This window comes from Homo sapiens, chromosome 1, assembly GCF_000001405.40.
Source record: "Homo sapiens chromosome 1, GRCh38.p14 Primary Assembly".
NCBI lineage: Eukaryota > Metazoa > Chordata > Mammalia > Primates > Hominidae > Homo > Homo sapiens.
In genome coordinates this window covers 29,064,679-29,088,072 of record NC_000001.11, presented here as the reverse complement: position 1 = coordinate 29,088,072, position 23,394 = coordinate 29,064,679, and the positions used below count along the sequence as shown (strand labels likewise).

The window sequence follows — 23,394 nt, the reverse complement described above, 5'->3', positions numbered from 1 at the left end:
CTCCATCTCAAAAAAAAAAGAAAAAAAGAAAAAAAGAAAAAGGAAAAAAGATGCTATGATAGAAAGATTGGCTGCCTATATATATAAAGTACTGCAATGATATCTAGTTGGTTTTAATAATATGAAAAAAAGAATATTAGACAAATATTTAACTGAACAGAAACATTATTTGAAGATTCTCAATTTCATTTAAAAAGTCAATGGCTCCTGCTAAGTATGATAATTCAGTATTTTCTTTGTTTTGGGGAAGAAAACAAGATTTTTTTTCCTAAAGGCTTTCTCTCAAAAACTATTTATGCAAAGGGATTATGTCTCAGAATCATCAGACCCTGATTATATATATGCCTTTATGAGTTATAAATTACCCCTTTTTTGACCTATGAATTCCAGATATTATTAAAAGCAGGATATGGGCCGGGCGCAGTGGCTCACGCCTACAATCCCAGCACTTTGGGAGGCCAAGGCGGGTGATCATCGGAGGTTGGGAGTTCGAGACCAGCCTGACCAACATGGAGAAACCCCGTCTCTAATATAAATACAAAATTAGCCAGGTGTGGTGGCGCATGCCTGTAATCCCTGCTACTCGGGAGGCTGAGGCAGGAGAATTGCTTGAACCAAGGACGTGGAGGTTGCAGTGAGCTGAGATTGTGCCATTGCACTCCAGCCTGGGCAACAAGAGCAAAACTCCATCTCAAAAAAAAAGCAGGATATGGGTGTTTTATAGGTATTTTGCTGCCACTCCAACAAATGCAATCCAGAGTCTATTTCTTTTCAGGTTATTTTTGAAGTAAGGATTTACATATTTGAAGAGACTATCAAAAGAACCACAGTTGGCTGGGCACGGTGGCTCACACCTGTAATCCCAGCACTTTGGGAGGCCAAGGCGGGCGGATCACAAGGTCAGGAGATGGAGACCATCCTGGCTAACATGGTAAAACCCTGTCTCTACTAAAACTCCAAAAAATTAGCCGGGCATGGTGGCGGGCGCCTGTAGTTCCAGCTACTCAGGCTGAGGCAGGAGAATGGCGTGAACCCAGGAGGCGGAGCTTGCAGTGAGCCAAGATTGTGCCACTGCACCCCAGCCTGGGCGACAGAGCAAGACTCTGTCTCAAAAAAAAAAAAAAAAAAAAAAGAACCACAGTTAAGCTTACAAGAGTGTCTTATCCTTTAAGAGATCAAAGTGAAAATATATCCTGAAAATTTTTCTAAAATTTTGCTACATAAGAGCCATGTATGAGTACCTGTGTAGTAATTTTATCCCCACACATTTAGTCACTTGTTCCCCACTTAGTGAAGACCAATTTTACCTTTTAGTGGCAATAGAAAAACAACTCCTTTCTCTATTAAAAGGAAGAAAACACACTGCTATTGTCTCATTTTATCTTTCTATATAATTCAAAGACTAAATCCTCCTCTTGATCAGTTATGCTTCATTTCTTAGCCATTTAAAAATTATATTTTCCAATGTGTATAAATATACACATGAAAAGGATCTTAAGGTGGCCGGGCGCGGTGGCTCATGCCTGTAATCCCAGCACTTTGGGAGGCTGAGGCGGGTGGATCATGAGGTCAAGAGATCGAGACCATCCTGGCCAACATGGTGAAACCCCGTCTCTACTAAAAATACAAAAATTAGCTGGGTGTGGTGGCATGTGCCTGTAGTCCTAGCTACTCCGGAGGATGAGGCAGGAGAATCGCTTAAACCTGGGAGACGGAGGTTGCAGTGAGCCGAGATGGCACCACTGCACTCTAGCCTGGTGACACAGCAAGACTCTGTCTCAAAAAAAAAAAAAAAAAGGAAAGACAAAAGATTTTAAGGTGTACTAAAATATTAATAATCAAGGGATTGCAAACGATCTTTTTGTTTGTGGTTTTTCTCTATTTCCTAACCTTTCTAAAACAAGTATGTATTACTTTGGTAATAAAAAGTGATTATTTTCTTATGCAAGCACTTGTATCTGGTTTCAGTAGTGAAATGATCTTTAAAACCTGAAGAGTCTAGTAAACAATTTATGCAGAAAGTGCTAAAAAATCCTTAACATCTTCCAAGCCTTTTAAAAACAGTAAAAAATAAGCCTTAATAGGCTTCTAAAAGAAAAAAGTAGTTAGAGGAAAGAATTATAAGCTAGTAACTGGTATGTAATATAAAAGTTCTCTTTTATAAGGGGAATATAATATTAAACCTTGGTAATTTAGTTAGTTGGTTTTGAAAGTCAAAGTCAGCTGGGTGAGGTGGTTCACGCCTTTAATCCCAGCACTTTGGGAGGACGAGGCGGGCAGATTGCTTGAGTCCAGAAGTTCGAGACCAGCCTGGGCAATATGGCAAGACCCCATCTCTACCAAAAATACAAAAAATTAGCCAGGTGTGGTGGTGTATGCCTATATTCCCAGCCACTAAGGAGGCTGAGGTGGGAGGATCACTTGAGCCTGGCAGGTGGAGGTTGTAAACTTGGGGTAAAAAAGAAAAGAAAAGAAAGTCAAAGTCAATGATGATGAATTTAATATATCTGTATAACTGGTGGAAAAGAAATACTTCAAATTTAAGTTGTAGCTTCATTGTATTTTAATGTTTTCTGATTTAGAGGTAGAAGCGATATTATCAGGAAAGTGATTTAAAATGTGGTTTTTGGCCAGGTGTGGTGGCTCACGCCTGTAATCCTAGCAATTTGGGAGGCTGAGGCAGGCGGATCATTTGAGATCAGGAGTTCGAAACCAGCCTGGCCAACATGGTGAAACCCCATCTCCACTAAAAATACAAAAAAATTAGCCGGGCATGGTGGCGGGTGCCTGTAATCCCAGTTACTCAGGAGGCTGAGGCATGAGAATCACTTGAACCCAGGAGGCAGAGGTTGCAGTGAGCCAAGGTCATGCCACTGCACTCCAGCCTGGCAACTGAGTGAGACTCCAACTCAAAAAAAAAAAAAAAAAAAAGAAGATCAAAGTATTTCCAAAACTGATCTAAACAATAACTTTAGGTTAGTGATATACACTATAGATTGATTCTATCACATCACAATTCATATCCAGAATGATTTATATTTCTTAAAATATTACTTTTTGCAAAGTAACGTGAACCAAAGCAATAAAGACAGGAAGTCCCTACATGGTGTTTCTTGAACTCCTGAAGTGGGCCAAGCCTATGGATTTAACTAAAATTGGGCTTCCTTTCAGCTTTTGTTAGCAAGTTCTCAAACAGGTCCTCATTATATTTTAGAGAACATCACAACTTTGAAGAAAGAAATTGTGACAGGAGAATTAAAATGGGTATACTATGAGGCTATTTCATAAATATTCCCGAACCAAGATCCTCAGGAAGAATACCATTTATAATGGATAGTTTTGGGATACATACTGTCTGTTAAGAAAGAAAATAGAATATTTCTGATTAGTCACACAATTTACAACTATTTTAAAATGTCAGAGATTTATTACTGTTTCTAGCCTCAAAGCTTATCTTTCTATATTGCTATTACCCACACATTTGCTCCTTGAAATTACTAAATTTTCCTCAAAATGAGAGTCTGAGATTTAGCATATACCTCTGCAGTCACTTTACACAATTGTAATCCCCAATCCACTACATCCGTTAAGCTATACCATTGTTTTCCACATTATCTTCATTTTATTTTGCATTCTGTCAAGTAAAATGAGATTTAAGGCTGGCCTTGTAAGTACTGCTTAATGATATAACCAATGCTGTAATCAGTCACCATCATCTGTGCAATGACTTTGTGGCTTGCTGAAATGCAAATATGTGAGGAAAATTTAACACATAAAACTTTTATTAGTGTTTCTATACGTCTGGGAAAAGTGATTCATTAAACTTTTTAATAAGATTGACATAGATTGAGAAAAAGAAGTTTTGATAAGTAAAAGGAAGTGAACAGAGATGGCAGTGGGAATAGGGGATGAGGGTGCACAGACACACATACACCCACAGAGCACATTACCCTTGCTTTGCAAACCCAGTAAGAAATGCTTTGCAGTGCAAATGACCACAGAACCAGCAGGAATCGAGGTTATCTTGCTAAGCACAGAAGAAGATACCCAGCAGAAGAGTCCAGCTCCTGGTTCTTAACTAAAGTAAACAATAAATATCATAGTCACTTAAATTATCAACAATGTATTTAAGTAATACCCCCAGATGGTCTACAACATGCAAACTAAAAAATGTAGAATTTAATCCTGATAAGATCAGTTAATTGCGAGTGCTTTGCTTCTATATTCTTCTCTTTAACAAAACATGACAAGATTAAGTCTCAGCAAAGAATGGCTTTAAGTGCCTAGGGGAAAACCTCTTAAGAGCAAAACATATGTCTTTATACATTAATATTAATATTTGTAATTTCCTATTTTGAAAAATTATATCAGCATTTCCCTAGGTTGTATAATAATCAGTAGGCACATTAGCCTGATGATTAAAACAATTTTTTTTAAGTTAAAACAAATGCTTTTAAATGGGCACTTGCAATAAAAGATAAATCAGATGTGGTAATGGCTTCTTTTGCAAAAGCCATGTGTAAACAGCACATAAAGATGACAAGTCAAGCAGTAGGAGCCCATTCTTCAGCCAAAAAAGGAAACAAATGAAGACAGAAGAACAAAAATTACCGAAAGGAGAAACATCCTCTGGTTCCCACCCCCAAAAGCTTGTAAATAATAGTTTTGTACAGTTTCAGTGGACAACTCAGGCCACTTAGAAGTTTGAAAAAGGACATTAGAATCACAAGCACTCAAGATGGGGATAAACTAACAACAGAGTAACCATGGGCTAGCAAAAGGTGATGTTAAAATTCTGTCTTTCCTTTCTAGTGTGACATTCTTTATCATGCAATACATTTCTCTTCATTCTAATTTTTCTCTCTTGGATGTACCCTCTCTCGCCTTTTTTTTTTCAAGGTTGTATGCTATTAGTTTCTAGCTAGAAATATATCCTTATAGTGCTCACTAGCTTCTCCATGAAACTCAGAGTCATTTTCACAGTCTATTGCTATTCTCTGGTATATAAAGATTACATTTGTATAAAATCTGGATAAAGGGGCTTATTCCGGAAGATGTGGGCCTTTACTAGAGTTGATAAAATTGCTTATGATAGGAAAATAATTCCACAATGCAGCCTCTCACAAAGGACAGCAAATGAAATTAGCCAATGATAATTATCTGTCAAACATTGTTTTTATAATTTCCTAAATAGTGCTGTTATTAGATTATCCCCAGAATAGGTGAACGTAAAAGCAAACAGCTTCAAAATCCATGCCGGATGCAAAATTTTAACTATTAGGTAATAGAAAATTTTGCCTTTACACTGCACTCACCAGCAAGGACTCCACAGATCAAATGAGTGTTCTCAAATCTGAATAGATCTACAGAGGTCAAAGTGCTTGGGCAAATATTAAAGGTTATACTAAGCATGTCTAACAGACCAGAAGCGTTTGGTGGTCAGTTTTATTTCATTACACTATGAAGGGTAGGGGTGGAGGGATGAAGGTGGAGAAAAAGGAGCTATGACCAGTACAAAAACTCTGAAGTTAGAATGGAACAAAATTGAATTTGTTTGGCTGGATTTCACAGAAGTCTCAGTTCTAAAAATTGATTAAAGTCATAATAAGCATTTAAGAAAATTTGATATCTAGAAAACAGTTACCTTGAGGTTAGGCCCAGTGGCTCACGCCTGTAATCCCAGCACTTTGGGAGGCTGAGGTGGGCAGATCACTTCAGGTCAGGAGTTCGAGACCAGCCTGACCAACCTGGTGAAACCCCATCTCTACTAAAAATACAAAATTAGCCAGGCGTGGTGGCGGGTGTCTGTAATCCCAGCTACTCAGGAGGCTGAGGCACAAGAACAGCTTGAACTCGGGAGGCGGAGGTTGCAGTGAGCCGAGATCACACCACTGCACTCCAGCCGGGGTGACAGAGTGAGACTCCGTCTCAAAAACGAAACAAAACAAACAAAAAACCCAAGAAATAGTTACCTTGATTCTACAGAACCAATGCAACAGACAGCTATTATTATAGAAAATTATTATTGAATATTAACTAGCTATGTTTTATCTTCTTGAGAAATCGTATAATAGTGAAAATGGCTTTCTGTGTTAGCATTTTCAACAAACTCATAAAAGAAACATGGCTTTGGAGAAATACTACAAAGTTATTTTACTTAGATCACAAGGTACATACTTTGAGCTAGTAAATAGACCACTCTAAAATGTGAAGTGTTAGGTTTTTTTTTTTTTTTTTGAGACAGAGTTTCGCTCTTGTTGCCCAGGCTGGAGTGCAATGGTGTGATCTCAGCTTACTGCAACCTCCGCCTTCCAGGTTCAAGCAATTCTCCTGCCTGAGCCTCCCGAGTAGCTGGGATTACCGGCATGTGCCACCACACCTGGCTAATTTTGTATTTTTAGTAGAGACAGGGTTTCTCGATGTTGGTCAGACTGGTCTCAAACTCCCGACCTCAGGCGATCCACCCAGTTCGGCCTCCCAAAGTACTGGGATTACAGGCGTGAGCCACAGTGCCCAGCCGAAGCATTAGTTTGAAATAATCACCTGAATAATATAATAAAATCTAGAGCTGTGAGAGTTAAGAGAAGGTTTACCCAAGGTGAAGTAAGAGATAAAGTGATATACCTTCTGTCGATTTCACATTACAGGAACAAGCTCTCCTCACACCCACATACCCACACCCACACCATTCTTCACTTTTCAGTAAGATTAGAGTGGCAATACTGAAGAGTTATTAACTACAAATTTGTACAGTGCTTTTAAAAAGCCCATAAAAGACAAATTCATCATACTAAAATGTTTCTAACAGATGTGACAACTACATCTGTTGTAGTGACTAATTAAATTGGTTAGAAAAAAATTATTTTTAAAACTTGGCATAGTCAAATTAGTTCAAAGCTGATTTAAAATAACATTCTGAGAACTGAATGCACACCAGTAGGTTGTCTCTGTCTTACGACTAAGCAAAAGACAACTAATTATTGGGCCACAGAGAAGAGTGAATATAAGGAAAAACAAGAGAAAGACTAGCTGACAGCAATCTCTTGCTGATCGGCTGAAAACAGAGGTTCATTTGGATTTTTTTGGTAGTAGGTCTATGAACAGCATTATTAACTCCTACTTCCTTAATGATTAGTAGCAACCAGAATCACATTTGCAATAAATAAGATTTATTCATAAGTTTACACATTAACAGAGCAAATAATGTGAGAAAAATATCAAAGAAAATGTCCCAAAGGGACTAAAGATTTCTTAGGCTTAAATATCATGCTGAATTGTTAATGAATAATTAATTTACTCAGCTAAGTATTAGAGCAAAAGGAGCCTGGCCAAGGGAAATGAAAGAAACATGTGCATAGGGATTTATTAGAAAGTACTTCCGCAAAACCAGGCTCAGTGGCTCACACCTGTAATCCCAGCACTTTGGGAGGCTGGGGAGGGTGGATGGCCTGAGCTCAGGAGTTTGAGACCTGCCTGGGCAACATGGTAAAACCCTGTCTTTTAGCAAGGTGTGACACACACCTGTGGTCCCAGCAACTTGGGAGGCTGAGGTGGGAGGACTATTTGAGGCCAGAAGGTCGAGACTTCAGTGAGATGTGATTGCATCACTGCACTCCAGCCTGGGAGACAGAGTGAGACCCTGTCTCAAAAAAAAAAAAAAAGAAAAAAAGGGGCCAGGCACAGTGACTCACGCCTGTAATTCCAGCACTTTGGGAGGCCAAGGTGGGCGGATCATTTGAGGTCCAGAGTTCAAGACCAGCTTGGCCAAAATACTAAAAATGCAAAAATTAGCCGGGTGCGGTGGTTCGCGTCTGTAATCCCAGCTACTCGGGAGACTGAGGCAGGAGAATCGCTTGAACCCGGGAGGGAGAGGTTGTAATGAGCCAAGATTGCGCCACTGCACTTTGGCCTGGGCTACAGAACGAAGGTCCGTCTCAAAATAAATAAATAAATAAATAAATAAATAAATAAATAATGTTGCTTTATCTTATTCTGACTTATTGGTAAATACTGCCCAAAAAAGCTGTGAATTGGGGAATTCTCCTCAGAGAAATATATATTTTTTTCTTTTTTTTGAGATAAGAGTTTTGCTCTTGTCGCCCAGGCTGGAGTGCAATGGCACAATCTCAGCTCACTGCAACCTCCGCCACCCAGGCGGAGCAATTCTCCTGCCTCAGCCTCCCGAGTAGCTGGAACTACAGGCCCGCGCAATCATGCCTGGCTAATTTTTTGTATTTTTAGTAGAGATGGAGTTTTTCCCATGTTGAACAGGCTGGTCTTGAACTCCTGACCTCAGGTGATCCTCCCACCTCAGCCTCCCAAAGTGTTGGGATTACAGGTGTGAGCCACTGCACCCAGCCACTAATTATTACTTTCAAAACAGATTTCTCGCTGGGTGCGGTGAGAGGCTGAGGAAGGTGGATCAACTAAGGTCAGAAGTTTGAGACCAGCCTGGCCAACATGGTGAAACTCCATCTCCACCAAAAATACAAAAATTAGCCAGGCATGGTGGTACGTGCCTGCAATCCCAGCTACTTGGGAAGCTGAGGCAGGAGAATCACTTAAACCTGGGAAGTGGAGGTTGCCGAGATCGTGTCACTGCACTCCAGCCTGGGTGACAGGAAGACTCCACCTCAAAAAAAGAAAAAAAAAAAAAGGTAATAATTAGAAAGAGGGACACTTCTAAGACGTTTTCTGTAGATACCCAATCTTAAATTTATACCAGCGCTTAAAACACTAAAGTATACCAAAAGCTCAAAGTAAAAATCATTTTTCTGGCGGGGCGAGGGGGCTCATGCCTGTAATCCCAGCACTTTGGGAGACTGAGGCGGGCAGATCACCTGAGATCAGGAGTTCAAGACCAGCCTGGCCAACACAATAAAACCCCATCTCTACTAAAAATACAAAAAATTAGCTGAGCGTGGTGGCAGGCGCCTGTAATACCAGCTACTCTGGAGGCTGAGGCAGGAGAATCACTTTAACCCGGGAGGCGGAGGTTGCCGTGAGCCGAGATCGCACCATTGCACTCCAGCCTGGGCAACAAGAGCGAAATTTTGTGTCCAAAAAAAAAAAAAATCATTTTACTTTCTTTACCATGTTCATTATATATCTCTAAAACTTGGCTAAAGAAAAGGTGAATTTGGGAATTGTGGTTTCTTTATTCTTTAGGGGGAAATGGAGGCAGATCCTTAAAACAAACCAAATGAAGGGGATATCTAGGATCATCACTGAATATAAGACCACAGTTAACACAATGCAATTTGGAAAACTGGCAGAAACGGGGTGCTGTGGTGGTTACAGTACATATTTTATTATTTATTTTTTGTAGAGACGGGGTCTTGCTCTTGCTTAGGATGGAGTACAGTGGCATGATTATAGCTCAGTGCAACCTCAAACTCCTGGGTTCAAATGATCCTCTTACCTCAGGCTCCCGTGTAGCTGGGACTACAGGCATGCCATCATGCCCAGCTAATTTTTTTTTGGTAGAGATGGGTCTTGAGCTCCTGGACCCAAGTGATCCTTCTGGCCTCAAGTGATCCTCCTGCCTCAGCCTCCCAAAGCGCTGGGATTACAGGCATGAACCATCACGCCCAGCAGTATGTATTTTTGATTACAGTTCAGGTGTACCCTGACTGCTTAATAGAAATGAATGTCTCATCTTTTGTTTTCCATTTCTAATCATAAATAAAGACAAAAAATACTTTGACATTGAGTGAAGATGCTAAGATCCCAACTACAATTCTCCAAAACAGTACAAAGGCAGCAAACATAATAAACCACTTTTCTGGTCTGTACCAGGGGTCCTCAAACTATAAGCAGCAGGCCAAATCTCACCCCCTCTTTTTCTTTTTTTTGAGACGGAATCTTGCTCTTTCACCCAGGCTGGAGTGCAGTGGTGCAATTTTGGCTCACTGCAATGTCTGCCTCCCAGGTTCAGGCGGTTCTCAGTCTCCCGAATAGCTGAGATTATAGGCGTGCGCCACCATACCTGGCTAATTTTTGTATTTTAGTAGAGACAGGGTTTCACCATGTTGGCTAAACTGGTCTCAAACTCCTGACCTTAAATGATCTGCCCATCTTGGCCTCCCAAAGTGCTGGGATTACAGGCGTGAACCACTGCACCCAGCCACCCTCTCCTTATTTTTCTATTGCTATGAGCTAAGAATGGTATTTACATTTTAAAATGGTTAGGAAACTAATAGAATAATATTTAGTAATATGTAAAATTATACAAAATTTAAATTTCAGTGTCCATAAATAAAGTTTGATTGGAGCATAATCACATTCATTTTATGTGTTATCTATACTACTTTCACTCTACAATGGCAAAGCTGAGTGGTTGTGACAGACCATATAGCCTGCAAAGCCTAAAATATTTATTATTTGGCACTTTACAGAAAAAGTTTGCCTACTCCTGATACTCCAAATATATCAAAACCCATAAGAGTTTGATATAGTTGATGTTTCTATATCACGTAAAACACAAGAAAAAGTGTCAAATTGCTCTCTGCAATGTATTTTAGATAAACATAAATGTTCCCTTTATGATATCACACTTATCCGAGATGACTTTATTTATACAGATGTGTACCCTATTCTTAGTAATATGTTCTAGAGTGAGAATAGCTCATTATTACCTGTGGTAAATACATAAGAGCTTTTTTTTTTGAGATGGGGTCTTGCTATGTTGCCCAGGCTGGACTGGAATTCCCAGGCTCAAGTGATCCTCCTGCCTCAGCCTCCCGAGTAGCTGGGAGTACAGGCTTGTGCCACCAAGGCCAGCTGGATAAGAGCTTTTAATTGAACCAAGTTACAAGACATTAACAATAGAAACTGACACCTACCATAAGGGTATACTAGATTCCTTGAATAAACAAGGGACCATACTACAGGATTAACAAGAGAGACAGTGGCTTCTGGGCTGGATACAGGCTTTCTGGATTACCTGCATATAATGATTGGGCATAAGGTGATTAATTTGGCACAAATTTATGTGCCAGTACAAGAGATTCTATGTGAAAAGTTATTTATCCATCGCCACCTGTGATTAATCATTTAATTCAGTGAAACAAATATTATTTGTTATATTCAAGGCAATGTGGTAAATGGGATACAAAGGTTATAGATTGGCAAAATCAAGGCCTATTTTTATTTAAAATTTTTTTAGAGACAGTGTCATGCTGTGTCGCCCAGGCTGGAGAGAAGTTGTGTGATCATGGCTCACTGCAGCCTTGAGCTCCCGGGCTCAAGCAATCCCCTGCCTCAACCTCTTCAGTAAGTGGGACTACAGGCATGAGCCACCGTGCTTGGCCTAAAGAGCCTCTTACCTCTGAGAATCTCATAGTTTTGAGGAGAAAGGCACAAAAGAGATGTATTAACAACACTTCAAATATTTATTATCACTTTTTCTGGTGGGGTATAAATCATAATCAGAATGTTAAGCAGAAAGTACATTTCCATAATTTTATCATCACACTGGTATAAACTGAATCACTTGGGGACAACTCCAGTATGTAAAGGTTACTCAGACTGTCACAGAAGGAAAGCAAACTTAGAATGCAGGCTTTGGTAGTGTGCTTCCTCAAAATATAACACTGATACTATCTTATCAACAGATTCTGGGCTACATGAAACTCTCAAAGCTAGAAAACTATCCCACCTCTACTCTTTTATCTAAAAAAATTCCAAAGCCTAAGTTATCTATGAAGAAGCTGGGACAGCCAGAAATTTCAAAATTTTTTGGAGAGAGAATGTCAATTTATAGGGACATAAAGCGGAATAATCCACAGTGGGCAACACAGCCAGAAAGAAAAAGCTGTTAAAACAAGGGAAGTTAGAAAAGAAGAAAGGAGGATGACATGCTAGGAGGAAGACTGGAATAGATCTGAATAGCAGATGGTAACTTGTCTGAGGGTAAGAATAGTGACTAGTTTCAACATGAGAGTTACCTTTAAGTATGTGAAGAAGTAATGTGGAAAAAGATAGAAAATTCTTTAAAATGCCTCTGTTCAGGATCAGTGAGTGAAAGCTACAGGGAAACAGATTTTCACTTAATATATGAATGATTTATATACAAACTCAGAGCTGTCCAAAGATGTAATATGTTATCTCAGGAGATATTGAAACAAAGACTGCAACACTGGCCTCCAAATCTCTAAATGATATTGCAGAGAAGAGTCAAGCACTGGAAGAGAGAGGAATTGAATTAGGATCCTATCCAATCCCTAAAATTCTGATAATGCTGACTCTTTGCATCCTTGTAATATATAATAGAGTACTTTGCTGGTGGGTGACAAATTAAATAAATAAATAAAATGAATGGTGGCCATGTTATCCCCTTAAATATTTTTCTATGTGTTTTATTGAGATAGGATCTTATAAATATGAAGACTTTTCTTTGAAGAGGTAGTAGATAAGAAAATGAGAGGCTCACCTGCCTTTGTTGATTTTGAGACAAGAAAAGATAGTTGAGACTCTATGCCTTCCCCTACCTTTCAATCTTTCAAATGTCAGAGTTATTCTATCATTTACCCAAAACAGGATTCTATGTTAAAGGGTAAGACACTGCTGCCTTCTAGGATTTTTCTTTTTTTTTGAGACAGAGTCTTGCTCTGTTGCCCAGGCTGGAGTACAGTGGCGCGATCTCAGCTCACTGCAACCTCCACCTCCTGGGTTCAAGCGATTCTCCTGCCTCAGCCTCCTGAGGAGCTGGGATTACAGATGCCTGATACCACACTCAACTAATTTTTGTATTTTTAGTAGAGATAGGGTTTCACCATGTTAGCCAGGCTGGTCTTGAACTCCTGACCTCAGGAGATCTGCCCACCTCGGCCTTCCGAGTGCTGGGATTACAGGCATGAGCCACCACACCTGGCCTAGGATTTCAATCACAAAAGATTTTTTTTTTTTTTTTTTTGAGACGGAGTCTCACTCTGTCGCCCAGGCTGGAGTGCAGTGGCGTGATCTCGGCTCACTGCAAGCTCCGCCTCCCAGGTTCATGTCATTCTCCTGCCTCAGCCTCCTGAGTAGCTGGGACTACAGATGCCCATCACCACGCCCAGCTAATTTTTGTATTTTTAGTAGAGACGGAGTTTCACCATGTTAGCCAGGATGGTCTCGATCTCCTGACCTTGTGATCCGCCCGCCTCAGCCTCCCAAAGTGCTGGGATTATAGGCGTGAGCCACCGCGCCTGGACACACAAAAGATTTTTAAAATTCCTAAAGTGTGTTTTCTCCACAATGTTATCTATACATTTAGTTAGGCTATTATTCAAGTTATTTGGCTTTTAGCCTGCATTTCTGATATGTGGGAACAAACTACTTTATCTTCCTTTTGTCTTTCAAGTTCTAGGATGATAGGAGTTTTGTTTACCAAAAGGAATCCTCCATGAATTTATAATTGTTGATCATAGCCACTGCTCTTCCTCTAGCCTAACTTTGTATGGCTTCCTAACTCTAATCCCATACCTTCTTAACCATTTCAGGTATGCTTTCATAGATCTGCACCAATGTGTTTCTTTTTGTGTCATATTCTGCTACAGTAAAAGGAGATACTAAGGCATGAGGAGTAACAGCTTCAGAAATGAGAGTGGCCTATTAATACTATCCACTAAAGTGTAGAGGAAGCAGATATGGTAATGCTACATGCCACACAAAACAGATTAATAAGAAGTTGTTGTAGTTTCTAGTACCAATATTACAAACGGTGTAATTTGAGTATATGAAAAAAAAGTGAAGTTTCTATGTATAATAAAAACAATATAATAGTCTTTTTCAAAGCTGCAGAGAATGCTATAGTTTGGGATTTTATAATTCCTGTGAAGAGGAATATAAGGGAAGGCAACTCTGTCAACAAATTTTGTATGTCTTTACTGTATTCAAAACCCTTGCCGAAAAAATAAAAGCAACAATGAGACCATGTCTCATATTAATTTTGCCCTGTTTTCCTTTTGTAAATACATGATCACTGGGTAAAGCACAAGTGTAATTTCTGCTCCATAATACCTTCTTAAAATTAATTAGATCTCTAATGCCTCATGTGTCCTATAGGCTTATCTATAGGAAGTACTACAGGCTTATCTATAAGAAGTATTACAGAAGTGACTTAGGAAACTAGGAGAAAGTGAATTGGGTTATTATATCCAAAGAAGTTTCAGAGTAAAATTTATAATATTTAATAGAAAGAAATGTACCAGGTCCTAGGATGCCAACTGGAAATCTATTCCATGTATAATATCCAGTCTAATCTTAATCAACAGAGTCAGCATCTTTTCCCTTCAAAACTCTTACTGAAGATGTAAATAAGTAGAAAACTTGACCCATGCAAACAATTCCCTTCATATTGCAAGTGTTAGCATGAAAGAAACTGGCTGAAAGAGAGGCCCAAAATATAGATGCTTGGTTTATTTTCAAGTATGATCCACTCTAATCATACCATTTGGATAAGATGAATTTATTAAGAGAAGGATAAATTTGGAAAATTAGTAAAGTGGTCAAATATCAATAAGGAGTAGATGGAAATAAACAGCTATTTAACGACTTACTTTCAAAATAAAAAGAAGTTAATGTATGTTTTTGTGTTTTTAAATTTTCATCTTCCCAGCTCCCAAAAGACCAAGAATTGAACGACAACCAGGGTCTCTGGTTCCTGGAATTTATTACGTATTCATTCTCATGAAGTAGGTTTGTCTCCACATTACTAGGTGGAAATCTGGGCACCAAGTAGTTAAGTGAACCTCTCAGAGTCACCCTAGAAATGAATAATGACAAAACCAAAGCAAAAACCCAAAATATTATACTGGTCTGTATTGATACCTTTACTCCAAATTATTTTTTATTTATCAGCTTGCCATTAAGAAGCTGAATCAGGGTAACACCAATATGTATTAGAATTTGCCTCTGGTACTGAAAATGAAGGAAGGAAACCAAGACTATTTACACTTTTTTTTTTTTTTTTTTTTTTGAGACAGAGTCTCACTCTGTCACCCAGGCTGGAGTGCAGTGGTGTGATCTTGGCTCACCGCAACCTCTGCCTCCCGGGTTCAAGCGATTCTCCTGCCTCAGCCTCCCAAGTAGCTCGGATTACAGGTGTGTGCCACCATGCCCAGCTAATTTTTGTATTTTTAGTATAGGTGGGGTTTCACCATGTTGCACAGGCTGGTCTCAAATTCCTGACCTCAGGTGATCTGCCCGCCTCAGCCTCCCAAAGTGCTGGGATTACAGGTGTTAGCCACCACGCCCAGCCCATTTACGCTTTATGTTGCAAATATTGGCAGTGTTACCTTTAGGTAATACAAAGCTGGAATGCCCAATATTTTTCCTCTGATAATTGTGATGGTATCTTTTGAGTCTGCATTGGTCAGCTTCATCCAATACAAGGGCTTGGCCATTCTCCTCTTAATCATTCTTACCCTATTGATAGAAGAAATGGCCTCTCCTTTGACTCTCAATAAAGATCTCCGAGGACTCTTGCTGCATTTCAGAAAACTGAAAAGTATCATTGGCTTAGACTTTTAATGGACTTGGAATAACTCCAATACAAAGAGAAATAAAATTCAGGGTGAAGTTTACAATAGTAATTAATAAAAAGCTGTGTATAAGGATGAAAACTGGAAATTCAGGAATTATAATCTGAAACAGTTATAAAAGTATAAATAAAGTTCTGATTATTTCCTTTTAATTCCTTAAAAAAAGATTTAAAATAATCTAACCAATTCTATAGTCCAATTTGTTATTTCATTAAGGGAAACTCTTGTATCTTTATTTCCCAGATAAAAGAGAGTACTCATGATTATTACTTTCTGTGGTAGAGAACAGCTTTGTAATATTTCAGGTCCCTCTTATTATGAGTGAATCAATAAATATACTTATTTACAAAATATATATTATAAATAGACATAGCCTGTGACATAAAAGATATATACGCACACCAAATTTTAAATTTTAACCTGGTCCTTGCTTCTTTTTCCATTTCTTGGGAAAGCCTATAATGACAGCGTAGCAGTTTTCAGGAAATAACAGATAATTATTTCTACATGTCTCCAGAGACAAGAGAACAATATTGGTAGATGTTGAAGGACAAAAGATTCTTGTCTTTACTGTTCTCTTTTTTTGCTCTAAGAGGCCATCTTCTCAAAAACAAAAAGTCTTGTTTAGAAGTTTCATCAACTGAAAAGCATTGAGAAGTAAAACAAAGTATAATAATCTTAGTTTGATAACCCTATAAACTCAGATTTCAAAACAAATATTTGAGACATTAACCAAATCATCCATATTGGTACATTCAAGTGCCATAAAAAGCAAGCTACATGCAAGGTTTCTTCAATATTGAGGTAAAAAATAACAGGTTAGGCATGTGAGTTGTCCTGAAGAGAGAGAGAGTGCCCACATTTACTTCAGGTAAGTCTTAGAAGTCAACATGCAAACAGAGGACACATACTTGTCACAAGTGAACTTGAGGTCACAAAGCCATTGATTAAAAACAATTGATTTCAACACAAGTACACGAACAAACAGGTCTGAAGTATATCAGGAAAACAAAGTATATCAATATATATTTTAAGCTTAGCAATGGCTAACTATTGCTGCTAGCAATATAATTAGTAAAGCCATAAAGAAGTAACACAGTATCTTAATTCAGAGAAGGGTTTATGTACAGATCTTGAGTAAATCTGTGTTCCAGACTTTTAAGGATAGGTAGAGTAGTCTGAGAATTTCAGTCCTGGCTGGAGGCTAAGGGGCACCAGCACCATTTTCCTTAAACCATATCAACACTCTACTTGTGAAAAGATGGCATTTAATCTTTGAAGATCTCTTCTATACACCAGGCAGGAAAAAGTTGTCTGTCCCTGTACAGCTCAGAAATACTCATAAAAAGGCCACAGAAGTCAAAAGCCCTTTTCCAGAAAAGACTTTTGTTTATACTGGTTTGATATCCTAAGAAAAGGAGTGGTTATGGATTTGTAGATTAAAACGTTATCATTTTAAGGCTTCTGAAAGGTTAGCGAGTTGAAATTTTTTCTTAAACTATGAAGCCCATGCCAAACAAATGACTATAGAGGATTAGGAAAATATTCCATCAAATGTATCTAGAGAGTATCCTGGTTTGTGTGAGATATTGGATAGGAAGACATAACAATAGTAAACAGTAAACATGCAGGATAAAAGAGTTAAAGCTTTTGGGAAGATTACCAACCTGCCATATGCTTAATTCTGATTTGTTTAAATTTGTTAAACTTCAATGCAGAAAAGCTGGCTTTGGGCAGTCCATTGCTACTCCTTTGTACCCCACAATACATACTCTACAAAGAGTAACATTTGACAGAAAAATGATCACAAGAGCTCCCCTAGGATAGTGAACTATCAAGATCAGAGGGCATCATACAGCAATAACACAGTTGAAGCCAAGGACAGAAGTTCAATGGTCTTGACATTTCAGATGAGCACCCTGTTTTCTGATCACAGAAAGACCAACCACCAAACAGCCAACACAAGGATCACGAGAAAAGACATCATGAAAGGAATACGAGGAGATGGAAAAGTACTAAAGTAGAGGTGGCACTTTTTGAGAGACTTGTGATCCTCAGGGATTGGAATAGAAACCTTGGGAAGAATTTCTTCATTTTCTTGCTGGGGCAAGGCTCTTTCAGTAGATCTTTCTTGCCTTTTAATTTTCTCTTCATCCTGTACTAACAGAGCACGTTCCTGTGTCTGCTTTCACAGTAGAAGATCAAGAAAGACAGAATAAGATGAACAAAATGACAGATGGAAAATGCTCAAAAATGATACTTGGGGATGTGCAAAGGATTTGGAAGTATCTTTTAGACACTCTTCATTTTAGCTTTACTTTATTTTGGCAATTTATCCTGGCAAAGTTTCTGTAACACAATAGGGTGCTCAATAGATACCTTTTTGAGTGAGTGAACATTAGAACGGAAAGTTCAAGGAATCACTGGCTTTCCCCTTGCTATGTTATTTATTCTTCCTTTGAGGATATTCACATATGAATTTTAGGTCATTTTCTATTACTTTGGTGCTGCCAATCACTAATTGGGCAATGCCAATAATGAAGCATTCTCCTTGCCATCATAAAAGTTATTTTTGGCTGAGCGCAGTGGCTCACGCCTGTAATTCCAGCACTTTGGGAGGCCGAGGTGGGCGGATCACGAGGTCAGGAGTTTGAGACCAGCCTGGCCAACATGGTGAAACCCCGTCTCTACTAAAAATACAAAAATTAGCTGGGCGTGGTGGCACATGCCTGTTATCCTAGCTACTCAGGAGGCTGAGGCCGGAGAATTGCTTGAACCCGGGAGGCAGAGGTTGCAGTGAGCTGAGATCGCGCCACTGCACTCCAGCCTGGGGGACAGAACAACAGTCTGTCTCAGACAAAAAAAAAAAGTTACTTTTATTACAAATATAATGGCAGAATATAAAAAGTAATCCTTATATCTCTTCATATAGACTTTAAAAACAACAGTTTTAAAAGCAACAGTTCATTCAGTATAGCAATTAGTTTTTGCTCCAGAAATAAAAAATCTTAATCTTATACATTTTAAAGATTGCAAAAGAAAAACAAAAAGTATAAAAGTTTATAATGTCCCTCCAAGGTTCACCAAAACAAATAAATAATAATGACCATCATGAAGGTTTATACATTACTTTAAGCAAATGCTTTAGACACTTTTAAAGAAAGTTTTTTCTCCCCAATTGTCCAATTGAGAAGTTTTTATTCCCCCTGCAATTTCTGTACTCTGCTATCCATAGTCAAGACAGATGTTATCTATGAAAGGAAAAACTTGGCTCTAAGTTCTCTCAGTTGAGCTAGCCTTCTCTGATCAGTTTGGAAGTTCAACACTGGTTCTTTGCACACCCCTAAGTGATATGTATCAGGGAGAAAGTAGCTAGGGGACTGGTCAGCAAAAAAGAAAAAAAGGAAAAGAAAGGATGCAAAATTATGATGATTTTTGAAAGAAAATAAAGTGGGAGAAGAAAGACAACATAAAAAGAATAGGGTATAATTAAATTCATTTTCTCTCTGAAAACATATTTATATCTTCATGCAGCTTTTCAACCAGCCATGCGCCGAAATAAGCAAATCGAAAGCTGCAAAAGCTGCAGCAGTGGAAGTGTTATGTGTTAGGCCGAAAGGCTGTGGGTGTGAATTTACTAGTATAGCCAAAAGAAAAAAAGGTATTCAGCAGCTGTTGTTCAGTTCTGGGGGGATTATCTGCTTAGTGCCATGACAAGAGCAAATTCTGATTGAGAAGCACAAGTCATAACAGCAGCTTTACCTCTGGCCCACCAACCTTTCTTTCCGAGGGTAGGACAGAAGTTTTCTTCACCTGGTCATACACAAATTATATAAAATTCAGTTGCCTTGCAATGCAACAACAATACCGTCAAAGGTGGAAGAGGTATCCCCAGAGAATGGAAATAGTATCCCAATTGTTAAAGAAAAAGTAAGATATGCCAGAAAGTAGAATTACCCAATATTAAAGGTCACCATAATACAGTGCTTATTTATTCCACTATTCATTTACAGGGGTAATAGCATAGAGCTAAAATTGTTCAAGTACTCCCATGGATATTGTTTAGTTTATAAAAAGTTATTTCTTTAAAGTACACAGAATGACATCACCATTCCCAAAACCAACCCTGAGAAGATTTCTGAAAGGTTTCTATTAAAAGATGTAAGATATTTCCTGGAAATGGAGACTAATTCAAATTTACCCAGCCTCATCCAAGAGAGGACCAAGTTACTTTTTCAAAGTAGTCGAGTATCTTTTATTACTTGCACAGAGTCAAAAAGAAAACTTCTAGAAAATACGCAGTTATAGTTTGCAGATAGGGTTAACTGGGTGAAATAGCGACAAGGCATTTTCTTATGGAGTCACAGACTTACAGAATTTTAGAGTTAACAGGGACCTTAAAGATCATCTACTCCATAAACTAAGGCCCAATATGATAAATTACTTGTTCAGAATTGTTCATTTAGGCTTTGACTAGCCAGACCCTCTAAATCAAATCAAGCCACAACCAGAAATACTAGACCCTTTATGACTCTTGTTACTACAGATACATCAAAATTAAGTATCCTACTGACACTGAAAACAGTGGTCTTGCCTAGAAAGCAGAGTTATTGTCTCAGTTCAGGATACATGCTCTAGATTTAGAACACAAAACTAAAGTCCATTTATATCAGAAAATGGAGGCTGAGAGGACAGTGAGTAGGAAACAATAGCGTCCTGTCATCCCTGGTAACTCTATTTAGCTGCCCATTACTCAGGTATTCTCCAGCCTTATTTGTGAAACTGTTCAGCTCTGTTTGGAGAACTGTTAGCCAATTTTAGTCACACTTTGAAAAATACAAAAAGTACCCTTTGTGAACCAATTTTTTTTTTTTTTTTTTTAAGACGGAGTCTTGCCGTTGCCCAGGCTGGAGTGCAGTGGCGCGATCTCGGCTCACTGCAATCTCTGCCTCCTGGGTTCAAGCGATTCTCCTGCCTCAGCCTCCCAAGTAGCTGAGATTACAGGCGCATGCCACCATGCCTGGCTTTTTTTTTTTTTTTTTTTTTTTTTGAGACAGAGTCTCGCTCTGTCGCCCAGGCTGAAGGGCAGTGGCGCGATCTCGGCTCACTGCAAGCTCCGCCTCCCAGGTTTACGCCATTCTCCTGCCTCAGCCTCCCAAGTAGCTGGGACTACAGGTGCCTGCCACCACACCTGGCTAATTTTTTGTTTTTTAGTAGAGACGGGGTTTCACCGTGTTAGCTAGGATGGTCTCGATCTCCTGACCTCGTGATCCACCCGCCTCGGCCTCCCAAAGTGCTGGGATTACAGGCGTGAGCCACCGTGCCTGGCCCCGGCTAATTTTTTTGTATTTTTAGTAGAGATGGGGTTTCGCCATGTTGGCCAGGCTGGTCTCAAACTCCTGACCTCAAGTGATCAGCCCGCCTCAGCCTCCCAAAGTGCTAGGACTATAGGTGTGAGCCACCAAGCCCGGCCTGTGAACCAACTTTTATCACCTTCTCCAGTTCCAGAAACTAAATAATAATTTGGATAGTTTACCATAAATTCTGAAAATTTAAAAAAAAAAAAGTTTTAGCTGGGCACGGTGGCTCATGCCTGTAATCTCAGCACTTTGGGAGGCTGAGGCGGGTGGATCACCTGAGGTCAGGAGTTTGAGACCACCCTGACCAACGTAGTGAAACCCCATCTTTAATAAAAATATAAAAAATTAGCTGGGCGTGGCGGCAGGCGCCTGTAATCTCAGCTACTAGGGAGGCTGAGGCAGGAGAATCGCTTGAAGCCAGGAGGTGGAGGTTGCAGGGAGCCAAGATCGTGCCATTGCATTCCAGCCTTGGCAACAAGAGTGAAACTCCATCTCAAAGAAAGGGAAAAAAAAAGTTTTAAAATTATTAAGACATCATTTTACTTTTTTAAACTAGAATTGCTATTGTTTTGGGGGAAAAACAAGCACATAATTTTTAAATCATAATCACTTATTGAGTCATTGTGACTATATAAATATTTCACTTGTACTGACTAAAGATAAAAACTTTTGGGGTATATGTTCATGGTAACTTTCAAGATATTTTCATTAAATGTTTAATAGATTCATTTATTCAGATGTAGGATTTCTTTTTTTTCTTTTTTTTTGAGACGGAGTCTCACTCTGTTGCCCAGTCTGGAGTGCAGTGGTGTGATCTCGGCTCACTGCAATCTCCGCCTCCCAGGTTCAAGTGATTCTCCTACCTCAGCCTCCTGAGTAGCTGGGATTACAGGCATGTGCCACCATGCCCGGCTAATTTTTGTATATTTAGTAGAGATGGGGTTTCACCATGCTGGCCAGGCTGGTCTCGAACTCCTGACCTCATGATCCGCCCACCTCAGCCTCCCAAAGTGCTGGGATTACAGGCGTGAGCCACCGCGCCCGGCCCAGATGTAGGATTTCTAAAATAGGTAATGACAATAACAGAAAAAGAAGAGCCCCTGAAAGGTATCTCTGACCTCTAATTGTGACTATCTTACAAAACAGTGTATTAAAAGTTTAATATTACTCATAAAGATAAAATAAATCATTTTTCTTTTCCTTTTTTTTTTTTTTTTTTGAGACAGGGTCTCACTCTGTCACCCAGGCTGTAGTGCAGTGGTGCAATCATGGCTCACTGCAGCCTTGGTCTCCTGGCTCAAGCAATCCTCCTGTTTCAGCCCCCTGAGTAGCTGGACTACACAGGTGTACACCACTATACCTGACTAATTTTTGTAGAGATGGGGTTTTGCCATGTTGCCCAGGCTGGTCTTAAACTACTGGACTCAAGTGATCTGCCTGTCTTGGCCTCCCAAAGTGCTGGGATTACAGGCATGAGCCATGGTGCCCAGCCCATAGTTTTTCTAAAATTGAAATACAATCATTAATATTTGGAATTCTGAATTCTCTGGCTTAGGGGCCTCCTTGGTTTACTATATAATTGTGGGGAACCAGTCCAGATATTTCTAAGTTGTGCAAATGTTCAAATAAAGCTTTTTAAAAAGACTAATGTCTTTCCTATTTTGACCTTCCTAAATTTAGTAAACTTTCTAGTCCCTGAAGGCACAGTTTGAATACAAATAAACCTCTACTGGCTTATGGTCAGTTTATAAACATACATTAGCCAGAAGCATGTAGCTGCAGAGACAGTTCTCAGAGGCTAATCATCTACTGGTGGCTCCAAATAGCTCCTATAATTGCACTGGGTAGCCTACCTGACTTAAAAAAAAATAAATATTTGATTACAAATGCCTTAAAGCAGCAATGAATATAGTGAGGCACCAAATCCAAATTTCAGCTCTAAGCTTTCTCTCAGATACAGAATATTAATACATAAAAACATTTATTCCCTCCATTTTCACAATTGGTCATGTGGACAAAGTACTCACTCCTTCTCCTGTGGGGATTTGCCCATTGATGTTAAGAGTTCGGAAGGGTGAGTGAGTGGATAAGCGTTTATCCCATTCACTAGGCCGTGGTTCTGGTACAGACTCCATGAAGTTCTTTTTCAGCTCACTGATGCTGGCATGATGTTTTTTGATCTCCTCTTGACTCTTGTCTAAATCCTACAGTTGAAAGGACAAAGATGCAAAACAATACACAATCAGGACAAAGAACATAATCAAGGGCAACCCGTCAGAGACTGGGCACTGGTAGAAAACATACCACATCCAGGACAGATGTTACTAATCTGCATTCAGATTATAAATATACAACATGGTATATTTGCTTGCCTTTTTTTTCTTTAAATAAAGTGCTTTTCTTAGAAGCTGTGAAGTATCACAACTCCATAGCTGTTAGCAGTTATATAACCCATAAAGAACTCACGCCTTAATTTATGATTCTTCTTCCCATTATGACACAGCAGC

The 23,394-nt window shown here is 39.2% G+C and overlaps 1 protein-coding gene across 70 annotated transcripts in view; it reads right to left on the bottom strand.

The window, feature by feature from the left end:
* The window catches only part of EPB41 (erythrocyte membrane protein band 4.1), a 232,942-nt gene that overhangs the window by 31,969 nt on the left and 177,579 nt on the right, over positions 1-23,394 (bottom strand). For 51 of the 70 annotated variants that reach the window (NM_203342.3, NM_001166005.2, NM_203343.3 and 48 more), the window contains one exon: positions 22,915-23,091. In NM_203342.3, coding sequence (NP_976217.1) covers positions 22,915-23,091 — 177 coding nt within the window. Of the gene's footprint in view, positions 1-15,499; positions 18,908-19,289; positions 19,341-22,851; positions 23,092-23,394 lie in introns of those variants that run through there. The other 19 variants (NM_001376024.1, NM_001376027.1, NM_001376026.1 and 16 more) reach the window with 6 other exon arrangements.